Source organism: Homo sapiens, chromosome 5, assembly GCF_000001405.40.
Source record: "Homo sapiens chromosome 5, GRCh38.p14 Primary Assembly".
In the NCBI taxonomy this organism is placed as follows: Eukaryota; Metazoa; Chordata; class Mammalia; order Primates; family Hominidae; genus Homo; species Homo sapiens.
The window spans coordinates 10,633,053-10,648,656 of NC_000005.10; the positions used below are offsets into that span (position 1 = coordinate 10,633,053).

The 15,604-nt window shown below is 49.3% G+C and overlaps 1 protein-coding gene across 2 annotated transcripts in view, besides 5 other annotated features; it reads left to right on the top strand.

The window, feature by feature from the left end:
- ANKRD33B (ankyrin repeat domain 33B) overlaps nucleotides 1–15,604 on the top strand; it is a 93,747-nt gene that overhangs the window by 68,983 nt on the left and 9,160 nt on the right. For both annotated transcript variants that reach the window (NM_001164440.2, XM_005248343.5), the window contains one exon: nucleotides 4,976–5,116. In NM_001164440.2, the coding sequence (NP_001157912.1) occupies nucleotides 4,976–5,116 (141 nt within the window). The remainder of the gene's footprint in view (nucleotides 1–4,975; nucleotides 5,117–15,604) is intronic.
- Nucleotides 713–802: a silencer, noted in NCBI's record as "silent region_15926". NCBI's record gives its function as "represses an Ori minimal core promoter by ATAC-STARR-seq in GM12878 lymphoblastoid cells {active_cell/tissue: GM12878}" and the evidence as "EXISTENCE:reporter gene assay evidence [ECO:0000049][PMID:35858748]".
- Nucleotides 1,053–1,132: an enhancer, noted in NCBI's record as "active region_22376". NCBI's record gives its function as "activates an Ori minimal core promoter by ATAC-STARR-seq in GM12878 lymphoblastoid cells {active_cell/tissue: GM12878}" and the evidence as "EXISTENCE:reporter gene assay evidence [ECO:0000049][PMID:35858748]".
- Nucleotides 2,255–2,384: a silencer, noted in NCBI's record as "silent region_15927". NCBI's record gives its function as "represses an Ori minimal core promoter by ATAC-STARR-seq in GM12878 lymphoblastoid cells {active_cell/tissue: GM12878}" and the evidence as "EXISTENCE:reporter gene assay evidence [ECO:0000049][PMID:35858748]".
- Nucleotides 3,025–3,344: an enhancer, noted in NCBI's record as "active region_22377". NCBI's record gives its function as "activates an Ori minimal core promoter by ATAC-STARR-seq in GM12878 lymphoblastoid cells {active_cell/tissue: GM12878}" and the evidence as "EXISTENCE:reporter gene assay evidence [ECO:0000049][PMID:35858748]".
- Nucleotides 3,918–4,650: an enhancer, noted in NCBI's record as "H3K4me1 hESC enhancer chr5:10637082-10637814 (GRCh37/hg19 assembly coordinates)". NCBI's record gives its function as "activates a minimal SCP1, AML or CMV promoter by ChIP-STARR-seq in naive and primed H9 embryonic stem cells {active_cell/tissue: H9 hESC(naive and primed)}" and the evidence as "EXISTENCE:reporter gene assay evidence [ECO:0000049][PMID:30033119]".

The following is a 15,604-nucleotide window of genomic DNA, read 5'->3' on the forward strand; positions in this document are numbered from 1 at the left end:
GCTAGGATTACAGGCGTGAGCCACCATGCCCAGCCAGTTCTCCTCTTTTTTTTTTTTTTTTTCTTTTTGAGATGGGGTCTTGCTCTGTCACCAGGCTGGAGTGCAGTGATGCAATCTTGGCTCACCGCAACCTCCACCTCCTGGGTTCAAGCAATTCTCCTGCCTCAGCCTCCGGAGTAACTGGGACTACAGGTGCACGCCACCACGCCCAGCTAATTTTTATATTTTTAGTAGAGATGGGGTTTCACCATGTTGGCCAGGACGGTGTGATCTCTTGGCCACGTGATCCACCCGCCTCGGCCTCCCAGAGTGCTGGGATTACAGGCGTGCGCCACTGCGCCAAGCCTATCTCCTCTTTTTTTAAAATAAACTTTTGATTTGAGAATAGTTTATGTTTACAGAGAAACCACAAACACTGTACAGAGAATGCCTGTGTGCCTCACACTGGTTCCCTCTGTTGTTAAGATCTGACGTCCGTGACGCGCTGAACACAATGAATGGACGCGTGTCAATTCACCATTATTAACTGAAGTCCGTTCTTTATTCGGATTTCCTCAGCGTTTCCCGGATTTCCTTTTTCTGTTGCAGGATCGCATGTGGCATTTAGCACTCATGGCTCCTCAGGCTCCTCTTGGCTGTGAGCTTCTCAGACTTCTCTTGTTTTTCATGACCTCGACAGTTTTGAGGAGGACTGGTCAGGTACATTGCAGAATGTTCCTTAATTTGGACGTGCCTGATGCTTTTCTTGTGATGAGACTGGAGTTATGAGTTTTTGGAGGAAGACGCCCGATAAAGGGCTGATGGGCCTTGGTCACCTGGCTGAGGTCATGTTAGCAGATTTCTCCACTGTGAGGTTCTCTCCCTCCTCCCCCGTTTCCGTGTAATAGTCTTTCACAGGAAGTCAGTGCACGCAGCCCGCGGGTTAAGGAGGGGGGAACACGTTCTAGCCCCTTGAGAGTGGAGTGCCTGCCTGGATTATTCAGAATTTTTCTTCCAGATTTTTCTATTCTGCTGGGCACCTTTTACACACAGATTGTCTCCTATAATTTTCACAAATGGGAGGTTGATATTATCCCTCATTTTACAGATATGGAAAAGCTGACTTCCAAAAGACACCCGGATTCTGAGTGGCAGGCCTGGGCCTTGAACCTGGCTGTTCTCAGAGCCAGCTCTCTTCAGTACTGAGCTCATTGTCTACACTATGTTCCAGTGACGCGATTTCATTCAAATTCACTTCCTCCCTGGGTCACTTGTGACCCTCTCTTAAGCAGGGTAGGGCTTATTGGTGGAGAGGGGGTGTTCTGGGGTTCTCTAGGTGAACCTACCCTTTAAAAGGGCTTCTCTGAGGATTTCAGGAACCAAGTCCGATTCCATAATGTCCAAGTTGGACTGGGCTCAAACTAGATTTTTTTCTTTTTTTTTTTTGAGACAGGGTCTCACTCTGTCGTCCAGGCTGGAGTTCAGTGGTGTGATCTTAGCTCACTGCAACCTCCACCTCCTGGGTTCAAGCAATGCTCCTGCCTCAACCTCCTGAGTAGCTGAGAATATAGGCATGCACCAGCACACCCAGCTAATTTTTGTATTTTTAGTAGAGACAGGCACTATGTTGCCCAGGCCGGTCTTGAACTCCTGGCCTCAAGTGATCTGCCTGCCTTGGCCTCCCAAAGTGCTGGGATTACAGGAGTGAGCCACTGCACCTGGCCTCAAACTAGATTTCAATATGGCGTGTGTTTGGGTTCCCTTGTGCAAGGAAGGCTGTGTGTCTCATATATGTAAAGAAAAGGAAAGCTCCTTTTGGTTACTCATCATGGTTTTTAAAGAAGAAAGGTTAATACTTATACATTCTTAGAAGTATTGGGTCCACCTTTGATTTCCATTGAATGGGGTCATCTGTGTGATGAGAGGTATTATTCTGCCATCCTGGGAAAACCCGTGGGAAGCAGGGCGTGATTTCTTGGATCATCGAAAGCTCAGGCCTGTAGTCAGAACAAGTTGACTGCATGTTGGTTTTTCTGGACTCAACATAATACGCAGAACAGATCTATATAATGGGTGGTTTGCTCTGTGGACTTTGAGTTTTTCCTCTTTCCACCTGTTCAAAGTGCTGAGGATATATCAGTGCAAAGGAACATCCTGCAGAAGATTGTGACGGACACGCTATTTCACAGTTTAAAGAAATGGCTCCAAAGGAATTGCAATTCATTTTACTATGCCCCTGGTTAAATCTAACTGACAGGTGCCGCCAAGCATTTAACTGGACCATAAACCAAACTGAGATCAAAGGATTCCCCCACCTTCCCATACCACCCAGTTGAGAGTAATTCAGCAGCTCTGGGTACCTGACAGCTGGCCTTAGCCCCTCCCCGCACATAGTAAAGGACGAGGGAGAGCAATGTGGTGTAAATGAGTCAAAAAAGCACCAGCGACTGGCTGTGAGTCACGCAGCGAGGGGATCGTACCCTTTGTTTCCTGCTTATAACCTGAACACTGTTAGACTCATCAGGGCTTCCTTTTCAAAAAGATACATGGTTCCCCTTTTCACATTTGTGGAGAGCTCAGGAGATGGGCTGAGGTCAATGGCGAGCTTGCTCCTCAGGAGAGTTCACCCCTGATTTTGGTTGCCTGTTCCTTCTTCTTTTGGATTGATGAAGAGCAAACCCACAGGATTTCATACTGGTGAGGCAGCAGCCTGGAGTGGCCCTCAAAGGAGGAAACTGGGTTCCAACCCCGGCAGTACTATCCCTCAGGGTGTGGCTGGGGAGACAGAAGCCACTTGATATATCGGAGGGTTTCATATTGGATTTGCTGAACTGAAGGGGCTAGGGGAGCAGAGGCCAAGGGCGCCCAGCCCTGCCTACTGGAGATCTCAGCCGCAGCGGGGAATCCTGGAGGCTGCTGCAGCGTCATGCTCACGTAGTATTCTGTCTGCAGAGGTGGGCTGGGCTGGGGAGGCACCTCAGGTCTCATGCCTGCCCGACCCCAGAGTGATGTCCTTGCCACCTCTCTCCCATCCCAAATCTCAGGCAGTGCCACCCATTGGAAGTTTCTGTGCAAACCAGATGCCTGTGGAGATTCTGGGCCCAGGGCCCGGCTTCTCCATGATTCAGGTGTTCCTGGGGGGAGGGAGGTGATGCCAAGTTAAGGAGAGAGTGCATAGAAATGTCCACGAGGCCCCTGCAGCTGCGACAGTGGGGGCTGAAAGGAACATGCTTGAGTTGGAATGAATAAGTGGGGATTTCTGAGCACTGCGTCATCGGTGCATAAGAATGGGGACTGTGGCCAGACACAGTGGCTCACACCTGGAATCCCAGCACTTTGGGAGGCTGAGGCAGGAGAACTGCTTGAATGCAGGAGTTTGAGACCAGCCTCGGCAACGTTGGGAGATCCCATCTCTACAAAAAAAAATTTTTTTTAATTAGCTGGGCATGATGATGCTCGCCTGTGAGCCCAGCTACTTGGGAGGCTGAGGAGGGAGGATCTCTTGAGCCCAGGAGGTCCACACTACAGTGAGCTATGATCGTGCTCCTGCACTCCAGTGTGAGTGACAAAGAGAGACTCCATCTCTTAAATAAACAAAAAGGATGGGAACTGGGTACCCAGCACCTCCCCTGGGGTTCAGGAGGAGAGACTCGGGCAGATTGCTCATATTCCCAAGAGTTTCAGACCTCATCAGCAGGGGCCTGGATGGAGGTGGCAGCTCAGGGGAGGGTGCAGCAGAGGGAGAGAGGAAGGAAGCTCTTTCCACCAGGTGTGGTTGGTCACGAAGGAGTGAAGTCTGAGCTTCGGGGACAGTGGTTCTCACCTGGGGTGTTCTTGCCCCACCGATGGCGGTTTGGTGGTGTCTGGACACAGTTTTGGTTGTCACAACCTATGCGGGAGTGGGGGTGGTTGCTACTGGCATCTATCGGGTAGAGACCAGGGATCTGCCTAGTGTCCTGCAGTGCACAGGGCAGTCCCCACAACCAAGAGTCATGCGGCCCCCTGTGCCGACTGTGCCAAGGCTGGGACGGACCCTGCTCCAGGACACTGAAGTGGGGGAGGGGGAGATGTATTCACACAAGGACTTATGAGCTAGCCGGCATCAGGTGGCATGGACAGTTGACCCAAGAGGATGCTCTCCCACTCCATTTTGGTTTTCCATGGGAGAATCCTGGAAACAGCACTGTTGCTGTGACATTCTCCTTATTCACCATTAACTGAGAGCACCATGGGCGTGCCTGGGAATGAGCAGAAAGTTAGATCCTTTTTGGAGGTGCAAGGTGAGAAAGGGGAGAAATCTGTGTTCTCTGAGACATCTCCTTACCTGCTTTGCTTTATAGCTGAGGGCCTTGCCTGCGACACTCTGTGGGATGTGTGTGGGCGTAGGTAGTTAGACACACACACACACACACACACACACACACACACACACGGCGGCGGGGGGAGGGGTGGTGGTGGGTAAGGGTGGAGAGAGAGACTCCTGCTTCTGGGTGGGAACAGGGTGCCAGCGTGAATTGGCACTGTCCTATTGCTATGATGATGACTTTTTCCTCCCTGCAGCTCTGGAGCACTTGGAAGCGGTTCTGAAGCTCATTTGCAGCTTTGCATCTGTTTGCACGGGCGTCTCCTGCTGGGAGTTGAGGCTTCCTGCCCTCATTGGCTGTCTGAGGCTGCGCTCCCTACCTGCCCGCAGCGTCCCTGCCCCCCACATCCACCCCCAGTAGTGTAATGGGACAGCTCCTCCCTCGAGTGCTTTGCCGAAGGGGACCTGCAAGAACCCAAAACAGCAGCGCTGCAGCCAGGGCGGTGCCTTCTCCTTTCCTCTGTTTCCTGGGCTCCAGGAGAATTCTGTCTTGGGGTCCGAGAAAAACTCACACAGCAGACCGGCTGGCCCAGGGCTGACTCAGTGTTTCTTTCTCTCTCTAGGAAGGCCTGGCTGGAACCAGCACATTTTGTGGAAGTGGGAACCAATACACGTGTACACTTCTCTTTACAGGGCACGCTATCATCACTAACTACTTGTTGAACTATTTCCCTGGTCTTGACCTTGAAAGGAGGAACGCGTTCGGGTTCACCGCCCTGATGAAAGCCGCCATGCAGGGTCGAACGGACTGCATCCGAGCCCTGATGCTAGCAGGTATGTCCACCTGTCCTGTGCAGCTTCCAGGGGCCCTGGGACACCAGAGTTGCTCCTTTATGGAATATGTTTTGAGATTAATCACTCCCATAGAAACAATGCCTAGTTGCTGCAATAAATAATAGTTTCTTCACTGACATATACTTCTGTAACTATCTGAGGTTTTAAAAAAGCCACAGCATTGGTTCCCTTCAGGACACCCCTTTCTGCTCCCTGCTGAGCTTTGCAGTGGGTGGCACCTTCCCTCACCTGCTGTTTTCCTCCTGCCCACCCGTTCTACACCCCAAGTCCTGTCCATATCTGTTCCTCCTCAGAAAGGGGTGATCCCTTGGCTGTAAATGGCAAGACTGTGCTGTTGAAGGTGGGCGTAGGGATGGTGGGAACGGCCCAGGCCATCCTAGGTCACTGCTTGCTGGTGGGTGGCATTGCATAGTAACGTTAGGAGGTGATGTGGAGTTGCATGTTAATGTTGGGATGTGATGTGGAGTTGCATGGTAACGTTGGGAGGTGACGTGGAGTTGCATGGTGACGTTAGGAGGTGACGTGTTGCATGGTAACGTTAGAAGGCGATGTGGAGTTGCTTGTTAACGTTAGGAGGCGACATGTTGCACGGTAGCATTAGGAAGTAACATGGAGTTGCAGGGTAATGTTAGGAGGTGATCCGGAGTTACATGGTAACATTAAGAGGCAATGTGGAGTTGCATGGTAATGTTAGCGGGTGACGTGGAGTTGTGTGGTAATGTTAGCGGGTGACGCGGAGTTGCGCGGCGATATTAGCGGGTGACGCGGAGTTGCACGGCGATGTTAGCGGGTGACGCGGAGTTGCGCGGCGATGTTAGGCGGTGACGCGGAGTTGCGCGGCGATGTTAGCGGGTGACGCGGAGTTGCGCGGCGATGTTAGCGGGTGACGCGGAGTTGCGCGGCGATGTTAGGCGGTGACGCGGAGTTGCGCGGCGATGTTAGCGGGTGACGCGGAGTTGCGCGGCGATGTTAGCGGGTGACGCGGCGTTGCGCGGCGATGTTAGGCGGTGACGTGGAGTTGCGCGGCGATGTTAGCGGGTGACGTGGGGTTGCGCGGCGATGTTAGGCGGTGACGTGGAGTTGCGCGGCGATGTTAGCGGGTGACGCGGAGTTGCGCGGCGATGTTAGCGGGTGACGTGGGGTTGCGCGGCGATGTTAGGCGGTGACGCGGAGTTGCGCGGCGATGTTAGCGGGTGACGCGGAGTTGCGCGGCGATGTTAGCGGGTGACGCGGGGTTGCGCGGCGATGTTAGGCGGTGACGCGGAGTTGCGCGGCGATGTTAGCGGGTGACGCGGAGTTGCGCGGCGATGTTAGCGGGTGACGCGGCGTTGCGCGGCGATGTTAGGCGGTGACGTGGAGTTGCGCGGCGATGTTAGGCGGTGACGTGGAGTTGCGCGGCGATGTTAGCGGGTGACGCGGAGTTGCGCGGCGATGTTAGCGGGTGACGCGGAGTTGCGCGGCGATGTTAGCGGGTGACGTGGGGTTGCGCGGCGATGTTAGGCGGTGACGCGGAGTTGCGCGGCGATGTTAGCGGGTGACGCGGAGTTGCGCGGCGATGTTAGCGGGTGACGTGGGGTTGCGCGGCGATGTTAGGCGGTGACGCGGAGTTGCGCGGCGATGTTAGCGGGTGACGCGGAGTTGCGCGGCGATGTTAGCGGGTGACGCGGCGTTGCGCGGCGATGTTAGGCGGTGACGTGGAGTTGTGCGGCGATGTTAGCGGGTGACGTGGGGTTGCGCGGCGATGTTAGGCGGTGACGTGGAGTTGCGCGGTGATGTTAGCGGGTGACGCGGAGTTGCGCGGCGATGTTAGCGGGTGACGTGGAGTTGCGCGGCGATGTTAGCGGGTGACGTGGAGTTGCACGGTGATGTTAGGCGGTGACGTGGAGTTGCGTGGTAATGTTAGCGGGTGACGTGGAGTTGCGCGGTGATGTTAGCGGGTGACGTGGAGTTGTGTGGTGATGTTAGCGGGTGATGTGGAGTTGCGTGGTAATGTTAGGAGGCAACGTGGTATTGCATGGTGATGTGTGTGGCAATTTCCGTTTTCTATGCTGTGTCATAGAGTGGAAAATTCTCAGGCTATCAACCTGGATCAACCCCTCTTTGTCTTTTGCGCCATCTTGGAGAACGCACTTTCCTGTTCCCATCTGTGAAATGGGAGTAATGACCTCTTTCTCCCTCACCTCCCTGAGGCTAAAATGCAACAATACTTTATACACTCCTAGAGGCTATCCAGCTTCAATGAGCTACTAAGCTAAATGCCACACAACTAATAGCTTTAACTCTTTTCTTCACTCTGAAATAGAATCAATGATCATCCTTCGTGCAACCTCATCGGGTTATTTTGAGAATTAAATGAGAAAATATGTGTCAAGCACATGTCGTGTTAGATTCAGTTAGCAGCTGACATCTCAGTGAATGTGCGATGCTGCTTTCACCATTACTTAATTCTGTTATTTTAATTTCTCTTTATTTTTGTTCTTGGCACTGGGTTCAGCCAGTCCTGCTTGGCGCTGCAAGTTCCTGAAGAAGTGGATTTCCTCTCTGTCTTAGTTGTTCTGCTGCTATAACAAAATACCTCACCTGTGTAATTTGTAACTGTAGAAATTTATTGCTCACACTTGGGGAGGCTGAGAAGTCCAAGATCAAGGTGCCGGCAGGTTCGATGTCTGCTGATGCCCCTTCCTTCTTACTGTCTCCTCTCATGGCAGAGGGGACACCGAGGTACCCTCAAACCCTCTTTCATAAGGCACTAGTTTGATTCAGGAGGGCACAGCCCTCATGATCTAATCACCCCCTAAAGGCCTCACCTCTTAATACTATTCCAGTGGGTCTGAAGTTCCAGCATAGGAATTTTGGAGGGTCGTCAACATTCAGACCACAGCACCACCCCTGTCTTGGTTATCCTGAGGGTGGCATCAGAGTTTTCCCAGGCATCAGTGCTTCCATTAATGTCACTTTTCTGTTCCAGGACCCCTGCTGGGCTCCCACATTTAGTTGTCTTCTTCTTAGTTGTCCCCAGTCTTCTTCTTCTTCTTCTTTTTTTTTTTTTTTTTTTTTTTGAGACAGTCTCACTCTGTCGCCCAGGCTGGAGTGCGGTGGTGCAATCTCGGCTCACTGCAACCTCCACCTCCCGGGTTCAAGCGATTCTCCTGCCTCAGCCTCCCGAGTAGCTGGGATTACAGGCACCTGCCACCACGCACAGCTAATTTTTGTATTTTTAGTAGAGACGGTGTTTCACCATGTTGGCCAGGTTGGTCTTGAACTCCTGACATCCCGTGATCTGCCCGCCTTAGCCTCCCAAAGTTCTGGGATTATAGGTGTGAGCCACCGCGCCCTGCCCCTCATCTTCTTGGGTCTGTGAAGTTTCTGTCATAACCTGTTGCCCATGACGGGACAGTCTTGATTCCAACCAGTGTGCAGCACCGCCCAGTCTGAGCCCGTCTGTTGTTTTTCTCGAGATCAATCTGGAGTTACAGGATTCACAATTGCTTCAGATTTATCTTTCTTTTTGCTTTAACCTTAGGGGATTCTTTAGTCTTAGGAGATGCTATAATAAAAATAAGTTCAGTGAATGAGAATAGAGGCTTCAAAGATGAAAACTTTCTTGGAAATAAAAAAAAAAACATAATTAAAAACGAGTCCTATCGATTGTACTTTTGATTCAGAGATGATAGTTTTATTTTAAAAAAACGAGATATCAGTTTCAACAGAGTTTCGGCCCTGCCTGCCCTCATCAATGAGAAATGGTTCCTACTAATTAAATGGTAATTATGTGATGCTTTTGTGTTTGGCGGGAGCTTCAGACACTTTTACTATTTCTGGATCTAGTTATAATTGGGCGTAGATGTTTGGTAATTGACTTTTTCAACTGAACATTTATGATGTCAGTCACATCACTGCACTTTCCCATTGAATTAATTTGAACTGCAAACCTTTTTTAGGTCAGTTGCCCTCTAATCGCTCCGTTTGACTGCCGTGCTTTCTTCCCTGGGTCTCCTGGGGGTTTCAGGCATGTGTGACAGCATTTAGAGGATTCCAGAAACACCTTGCACATCTCTTGGAACGATGAGTCTGCGGGCAGTGGGTTTACTGCTGACATTGCTCTTCCCCCATCAGTTATTTGGATACAAATTTGACATTAGATTTGAGACTCTCCCTCCCCTATTCTCCACTTTGCAAGCCCATCCCCCATCACAGTCTAGAACAATCCACGGATTATTGTCTGTGGGATCCTCTAGTGAGTCTCTCCCTGTCCTATACGAGGTACAGAGCAGGAGCTGAACAGAAACAGTCCAGGAACCAGGACCCAGTTTCAAATTCATCTTCTCCACTTCCCATCTCTACACCTGCAGCCTGTCACTCACCTCTCTGGGCCCCAGTTTCCTCTTCTATAAAATGAGGCTAATGATAGCACCCACCGCAGGAAGGTGGGATGCGGATTGGGCACGTTCACAACAGAACAGCCCTCGGGTGCATGCTGGGCTTGGAGAAGCCTTCGGACATGTTGGTTGTGATTATTGTTATTATTATGATTATTGGTGAGTTTATGTGTTCAATAGTTATCTGTTAAGTGAATGAAAAAATACGGTTTGTTTTTCCCTTTGAGAAATATCTTGTAAATGAGATACTTAAACTTTCTTAATGAGGGTAGTAAGCCCCTACCTCAGGGTTTTTGTTTTTTGCTTTTTTGTTCTGTTTTTGTTTGTTTGTTTTGCTTTGTTTTGTTTTGTTTTGAGACGGAGTCTCACTCTGTCGCCCAGAGTGGAGTGCAGTGGCGCGATCTCGGTTCACTGCAATCTCTGCCTCCTGGGTTCAAGCAATTCTCTTGCTTCAGCCTCCTGAGTAGCTAGGACTACAGGCATGCACCACCACATCCAGCTAATGTTTGTATTTTTAGGAGAGACAGGGTTTCTCCATATTGGCCAGGCTGGTCTCAAACTCCTGACCTTGTGATCTGCATGCCTCGTCCTCCCAAAGTGCTGGGATTACAGGTGTGAGCCACCGCACCTGGCCAGGGGTTTCTTAATTTCAGCACTACTAACATGCAGAGCCAGATAATTCTTTGTTGTGGGGGCTGTCTTTCAAATTGTAGGATTTTTAGTGGCATCCCTGGCCTCTACCCACAAGATGACTGTAGCACCTCTTCAGTTGTGACAACCAAAAATGTCTCTAGATGTTGCTCAAAGTCTCCCAGGTTGGGGGAAAAATTGCTTCCCATCGAGAACCACTGATATAAATAATTTAAATGGGAAAGGATATACAAAGTGAGAAGAGACATTTTCCCCTCTGTGTACTCTTCCTCGCTTGTTCTGTATTCCTCCCTCAAATAAAAGTGTGACATCTTGGCCGGGCATGGTGGCCCACGTCTGTAATCTCAGCACTGTGGGAGGCTGAGGCGGGTGGATCACCTGAGGACAGGAGTTCGAGACCAGCCTGGCCAACATGGTGAAATCCCGCCTCTACTGAAAATACAAAAAAAATTTAGCCGGGCATGGTAGCACAAGCCTGTAATCCCAGCCACTCGGGAGGCTGAGGCAAGAGAATCGCTTGAACCTAGGAGGCGGAGGTTGCAGTGAGCCGATATCATGCCACTGTATTCCAGCCTAGGCAACAGAGTGAGACTCTGTCTCAAAAAAAAAAAAAAAAAAAAAAGAGAAGTGACATCTTGTTTAGGGAACTTTTGAGCTGCCCTCTTAAGCTTTGGTTGTAGTGTAGAACTTACGGAATATTTTCATCTTCTACTATTACTACTAAGCTTACAGTTCTCCCAAGAAAAGTGGGTTTTATTTTCCTTTGACAGTAGATGGGTAAGAATTAAAAAAAAAAAAAAAAGTGTTGAATTGCTTCCCCAGGATTAGTGGAGAGCAATAAGGACAGATGTTGATATATTTCTAAAATTCACACAAATATTTTAAGTCTTATTCTTTCCATTTAAATACGTGATATTAAGAAAAAAATAAACCATTTAAAGAAACTAATAGCCAGAGCCTTTCTTTTAGATTGACACTTCAGATTGTAATAAAAAGTATAACCGGGTTCTGAGAGGCTGATCGATTGCATCTTTGGTTTGGCTTCGTAAGGAGTAATGCAGGCTCTGCTGAAGAGCATCACAAGGGAGTTGCAGAACCTTGTTAATTCACTGAAATATTAATGCCCACAGTGACAGGTCTATTTAAATAGGTGGCTCTGAGAAGCGTATCGAGGATGTGATTTTTTTCTGAAGAGAGGCAGAATCTGTGGAGGTTGCCAGGTTCCAGGCTTGCTTAAGGGAGCTCACTTTCAGACCTGAAGTGTGGTGTAACTGCCGCAGCCTTCAGGAAGCAAAAACAAGCAGCAATAACCTCAAATCTTCCTGTGATTCCAAGGCGCAAAGTGGATTTAAAGGACGGCGAGGAACAGAGATCAGAGATGCTCCCGCTGTGGGTCAGAGGGTTGCTCTTGTCTCAGGGAAGCCCTGATATCTCTTTCTGGAAAGTCAGATGATTTCCAACCATATAGAGGTTTCTTTCTGTTTATAAGGAAAACTTAAATTTCCTATGAAGTGTGAATTTGCCATGTAGAATTGTTTGAAGTCATTAGCCAGAGAAAGGATGAAAAGTCAAGCATTCTGTGTCACCTGCAAAGCAAACCTCGAGACAAGGACTTGGGGGCAAGTAGTTTTGAGGGATGGTGGCCCCAGGAAGTGGAGTGAGGGGGCAGCAAGTGAGATTGGGAAGAATGGAAGCTAAGAAATGTCCACCAATGAGCAGGTTCCTCTTGTGGGCAGCTGGGACTCAGACCCCCTGGACCCTCCACTATGAGGAAAAGATATCGCAGAGATGCTGGGAAGTTTATTTCCCAACTCCAGTGCCTCTTTGAGGGGAGATGAGAACTTTGAGCACACTTCCCACCTGCTATGTGGTGGGGGTGGCTTGTCCTCCCTGCTGGGCTGGAGCACAAGCTCTTTCTTGGACCCTGCATCCAGATTTGTCATCCCGATTATACCCACAATGCCCAAGATACAGGCTGGAGGTGGCACAAGGGGAGGCAGTGAGGGCTGGTCCACAGTGGTCTCCTGTGGCCAGGAAAGGCCCCCTGGCAAGAGGGAGACCTGAGCTAGGGTTTGTAGAGTGGATAACATGGGGGTGGGTGGGGGCTGGTGGAGAAGCAGGAAAGGAAGTGACACATTCAGGGCTTCACGCTCCACCCACCTCCTGCTAGTCCTGGGCCTGGCCATGGCTCCCAGAGAAAGCCTTCTTGAGAATGAGTGATGGAAAGTATAGATTTTTTTTTCCCATTAGCACCTGTTTGGAATGTTTTTGGCTGCAAGTAACAGAAATCCTGACTAGACAGTGGCTTAAAGAAAACAGGCCGCATTTCTCAGCTCCCTGGAAGTCTGAGGTTGGCAGTCACCCTCCAGAGCTGGCCCTGGATTCCATGAGGACAACAGTGGTTTCCTCCTGTCCATTTGGCTCCCCTTAGCCTGTTGATCTGTCACCCCTTGATTCCACGAGAATCACCCAATATGTGTTTCAGACAGGAAGCTGCAGCAGCACCAACCATGCTGGTCCCTTTCGTCAGGAGGCAGAACCCTCTTTAGGGCTCAGTCACCAGTGCTGGGTTGCTTGGCTACTTTTAGCTGTAAGGGAGGCTGGAAGAATGGGGAACAGGATTGCAGCCGTTAGATTCCAATAGTGATTCTCAGCTGGAGGTAATGTTGCCCCAGGGGACATTTGGCCACGTCTGTAGACATTTTTGGTTGTCAGAACTGGCGGACTGCTACTGGCATCTAGAAGAAGGTAGAGATCAGGGATGCCGTTAAATGTTCTCCAATGCACAGGACAGCCCACACCAAATAATTACCTGGCCTAATATGTCAACAGTGCTGAGGTTCAGAAGTCCTGGGTTAGACTGATCGTGATGCATTGCCAAGAACTGAGGATGTTGCTGCCTCAAGTGAAATAGAGGATTTTGTGTAGACTTAGAGCACTCAACAAGGCAGCGAGTGGACCCATGGGTGGCAGCTCCACTTTTGTCCACATGATTGAGCCCTGGGCAAAACAACACTGGGTGGGAGATGACGATGCTGGGGGGTCTGCTGGCGAGAAGATGGATACAGTGGCATTTCAGAAATCCTCTGTATTCTCTGGAAGGTATTTGTATAAAATGTTAATAATCGGTACTTATCTTTTATAATTTAATTGCTGTGTTCATGTCATTAATATAACCCTTTACAGTTGCTTCCTAAGGCAGCAGATCCCTAATTTATAGCATGACTCTGATTCTAGGGCTCAGTGGCCTTTGTTCCTTAGAATGTTTGTATTTTCTGAGATCATTTTGAAAAGATAGGTGAACATCAGGACGAAGAGTGCAAAACTTTGGACAGATCTTCCTCTGGTTTTCCATTAGCATTTGAAAAATGTCTCTTTCAGGCAGTGTTCATTAAGATTTTAATTTTATAGTTTGTTCCTTTTTTAAGTGACATGCAATTAATTAAGGTTTAATGTGTCATCTATTTTTTGCAATGACACTTTTACTGCCCCCTTTTCATTTTAGTCAGTTTATAAATTGTACTCTAGCTAATGAGTTCCATCCTGATATCCAGTTCCAAATAATTACCACTCTTCTAATATGGCTATTCTTTAATGTGTCACAGAACTAAGATCCTTACCAGGCAAGCTCAGGTGAGCTGGGTCTGCCAGAGCCATGAGGCCACTGTGGGCCAACAGGCCAGGGCAGTGGCTGGGGACCCGACCTTCCTCAGTTCAGCACACGTTGATCAGCCATCACATGTCAGACTCCTGGGTCTGCATGGGATATAAATGAAGAAGCGTCTGTCGGGTCCGGTCCCCTTTGAGCTCACAGACTAGATAATTGCCCTAGTTCTCCATGTTGCTTTGCTGGTGGAGATATGACTAATGGGACTTGAAATCCTCAATGATTTTTTTTTTTTTGAAATGGAGTCTTTCTCTGTTAATCAGGCTGGAGTGCGGTGGTGCGATCTCGGCTCACTGCAACCTCTGCCTCCCGGGTTGAAGCGATTCTCCTGCCTCAGCCTCCTGAGTAGTTGGGATTACAGGTGCCTGCCACCACGCCCAGCTAATTTTTTGTGTGTTTTTAGTAGAGGTGGGGTTTCACCATGTATTGGCCAGGTTGGTCCCAAACCCCTGACGTCAGGAGATCTGCCCTCCTCGGCCTCCAAAGTGCTAGGATTACAGGTGTGAGCCACTATGCCTGGCCCCTCAATGATTTTTAACAGTATGTGGGACTGAGATTGGACCAAGATTAATTGAACAGCAATTCCGTATTAATTTCTATACTACAACATTGAAATTTATGCAGATTTCATCAAGTTGAGTTGAAGTTTAACTTTGCAATATTTGGGGGCAGTGGGTGGACTGGGGAGATTTATTAAGGGAGTGACTAGTGTCAGGGAGACTGTGTAAGGGGACCTATCAGTCAACCAATAGGATGTGGATATCAAGAGATTTATTTTAAGGAATTGGCTGTGTGGTTTGGGGGGTTGGTGAGTCTGAAACTGGTGCGGTAGGCTCGAAGGCTGGAAACTCAGGCAGCAGTAAGTAGATGCCGCAGTCTTGAGGTGGAATTTCTTTGTTTCCAGGAAACCTTGGTCTTTGCTCTTAATGCCCTCAACTAATTGGGCGAGGCCCACCCGCATTATGAAGGGTAATCTCCTTGACTTAGAGTCAACTGATTATAGATGTTAACCACAGCTGCAAAATACCTTTGGGGCAACACTTAGATCCATGTTTGATTAAATCACTGGGTATTCTAGCCTAGCCAAGTTGACATAGAAAACTAAAACTGACCATCACACCAGGACTGCCAGGTGGTAGGAAGTACATTAGACTGAGGTTAGGACACCCAAGTCTTAGACCCTCTCTCTGTTACTAGCCCACAGCCACTGTGACTGCCATTCTTTTTGCAACAAGCCTTTTAAAAATTCATGCCCCCTACCCACCAGGATGAAACGTGTTGAGCAAACAAAAATGAATTTTTCTATCCTGGAAAAGCCCACCATCGGTTAAAGGTAGACAGACCCCAGCCAGCTAGGCCGCAGTGGGAGAAGCGAAGGAACCACCCATTTCCCACAGTCCAGGACCCATGGCAGTCCTCAAGAGTGAGACCACAGCTGGGGTGCCACCACTTTGCAAGTGACTGTTACTGGTCATATTTTTAGAACTTTCTAGCCACAGCATTCAAGTATGCAAGGCAGCTTTGTTGTCTGGTCATCTCTCCATTGATGGAAAGCTATAGGATCTTATTTCTTTAAAAAATTCTGTAATTTGGCCAGGCGCAGTGGCTCACGCCTGTAATCCCAGCACTTTGGGAGGCCGAGGCGGGTGGATCACCTGAGGTTGGGAGTTCGAGACTAGCCTGACCAACATGGAGAAACCCCCTCTCTACTAAAAATACAAAATTAGCCTGGCGTGGTAGCACATGCCTGTAATCCCAGCTACTCGGGAG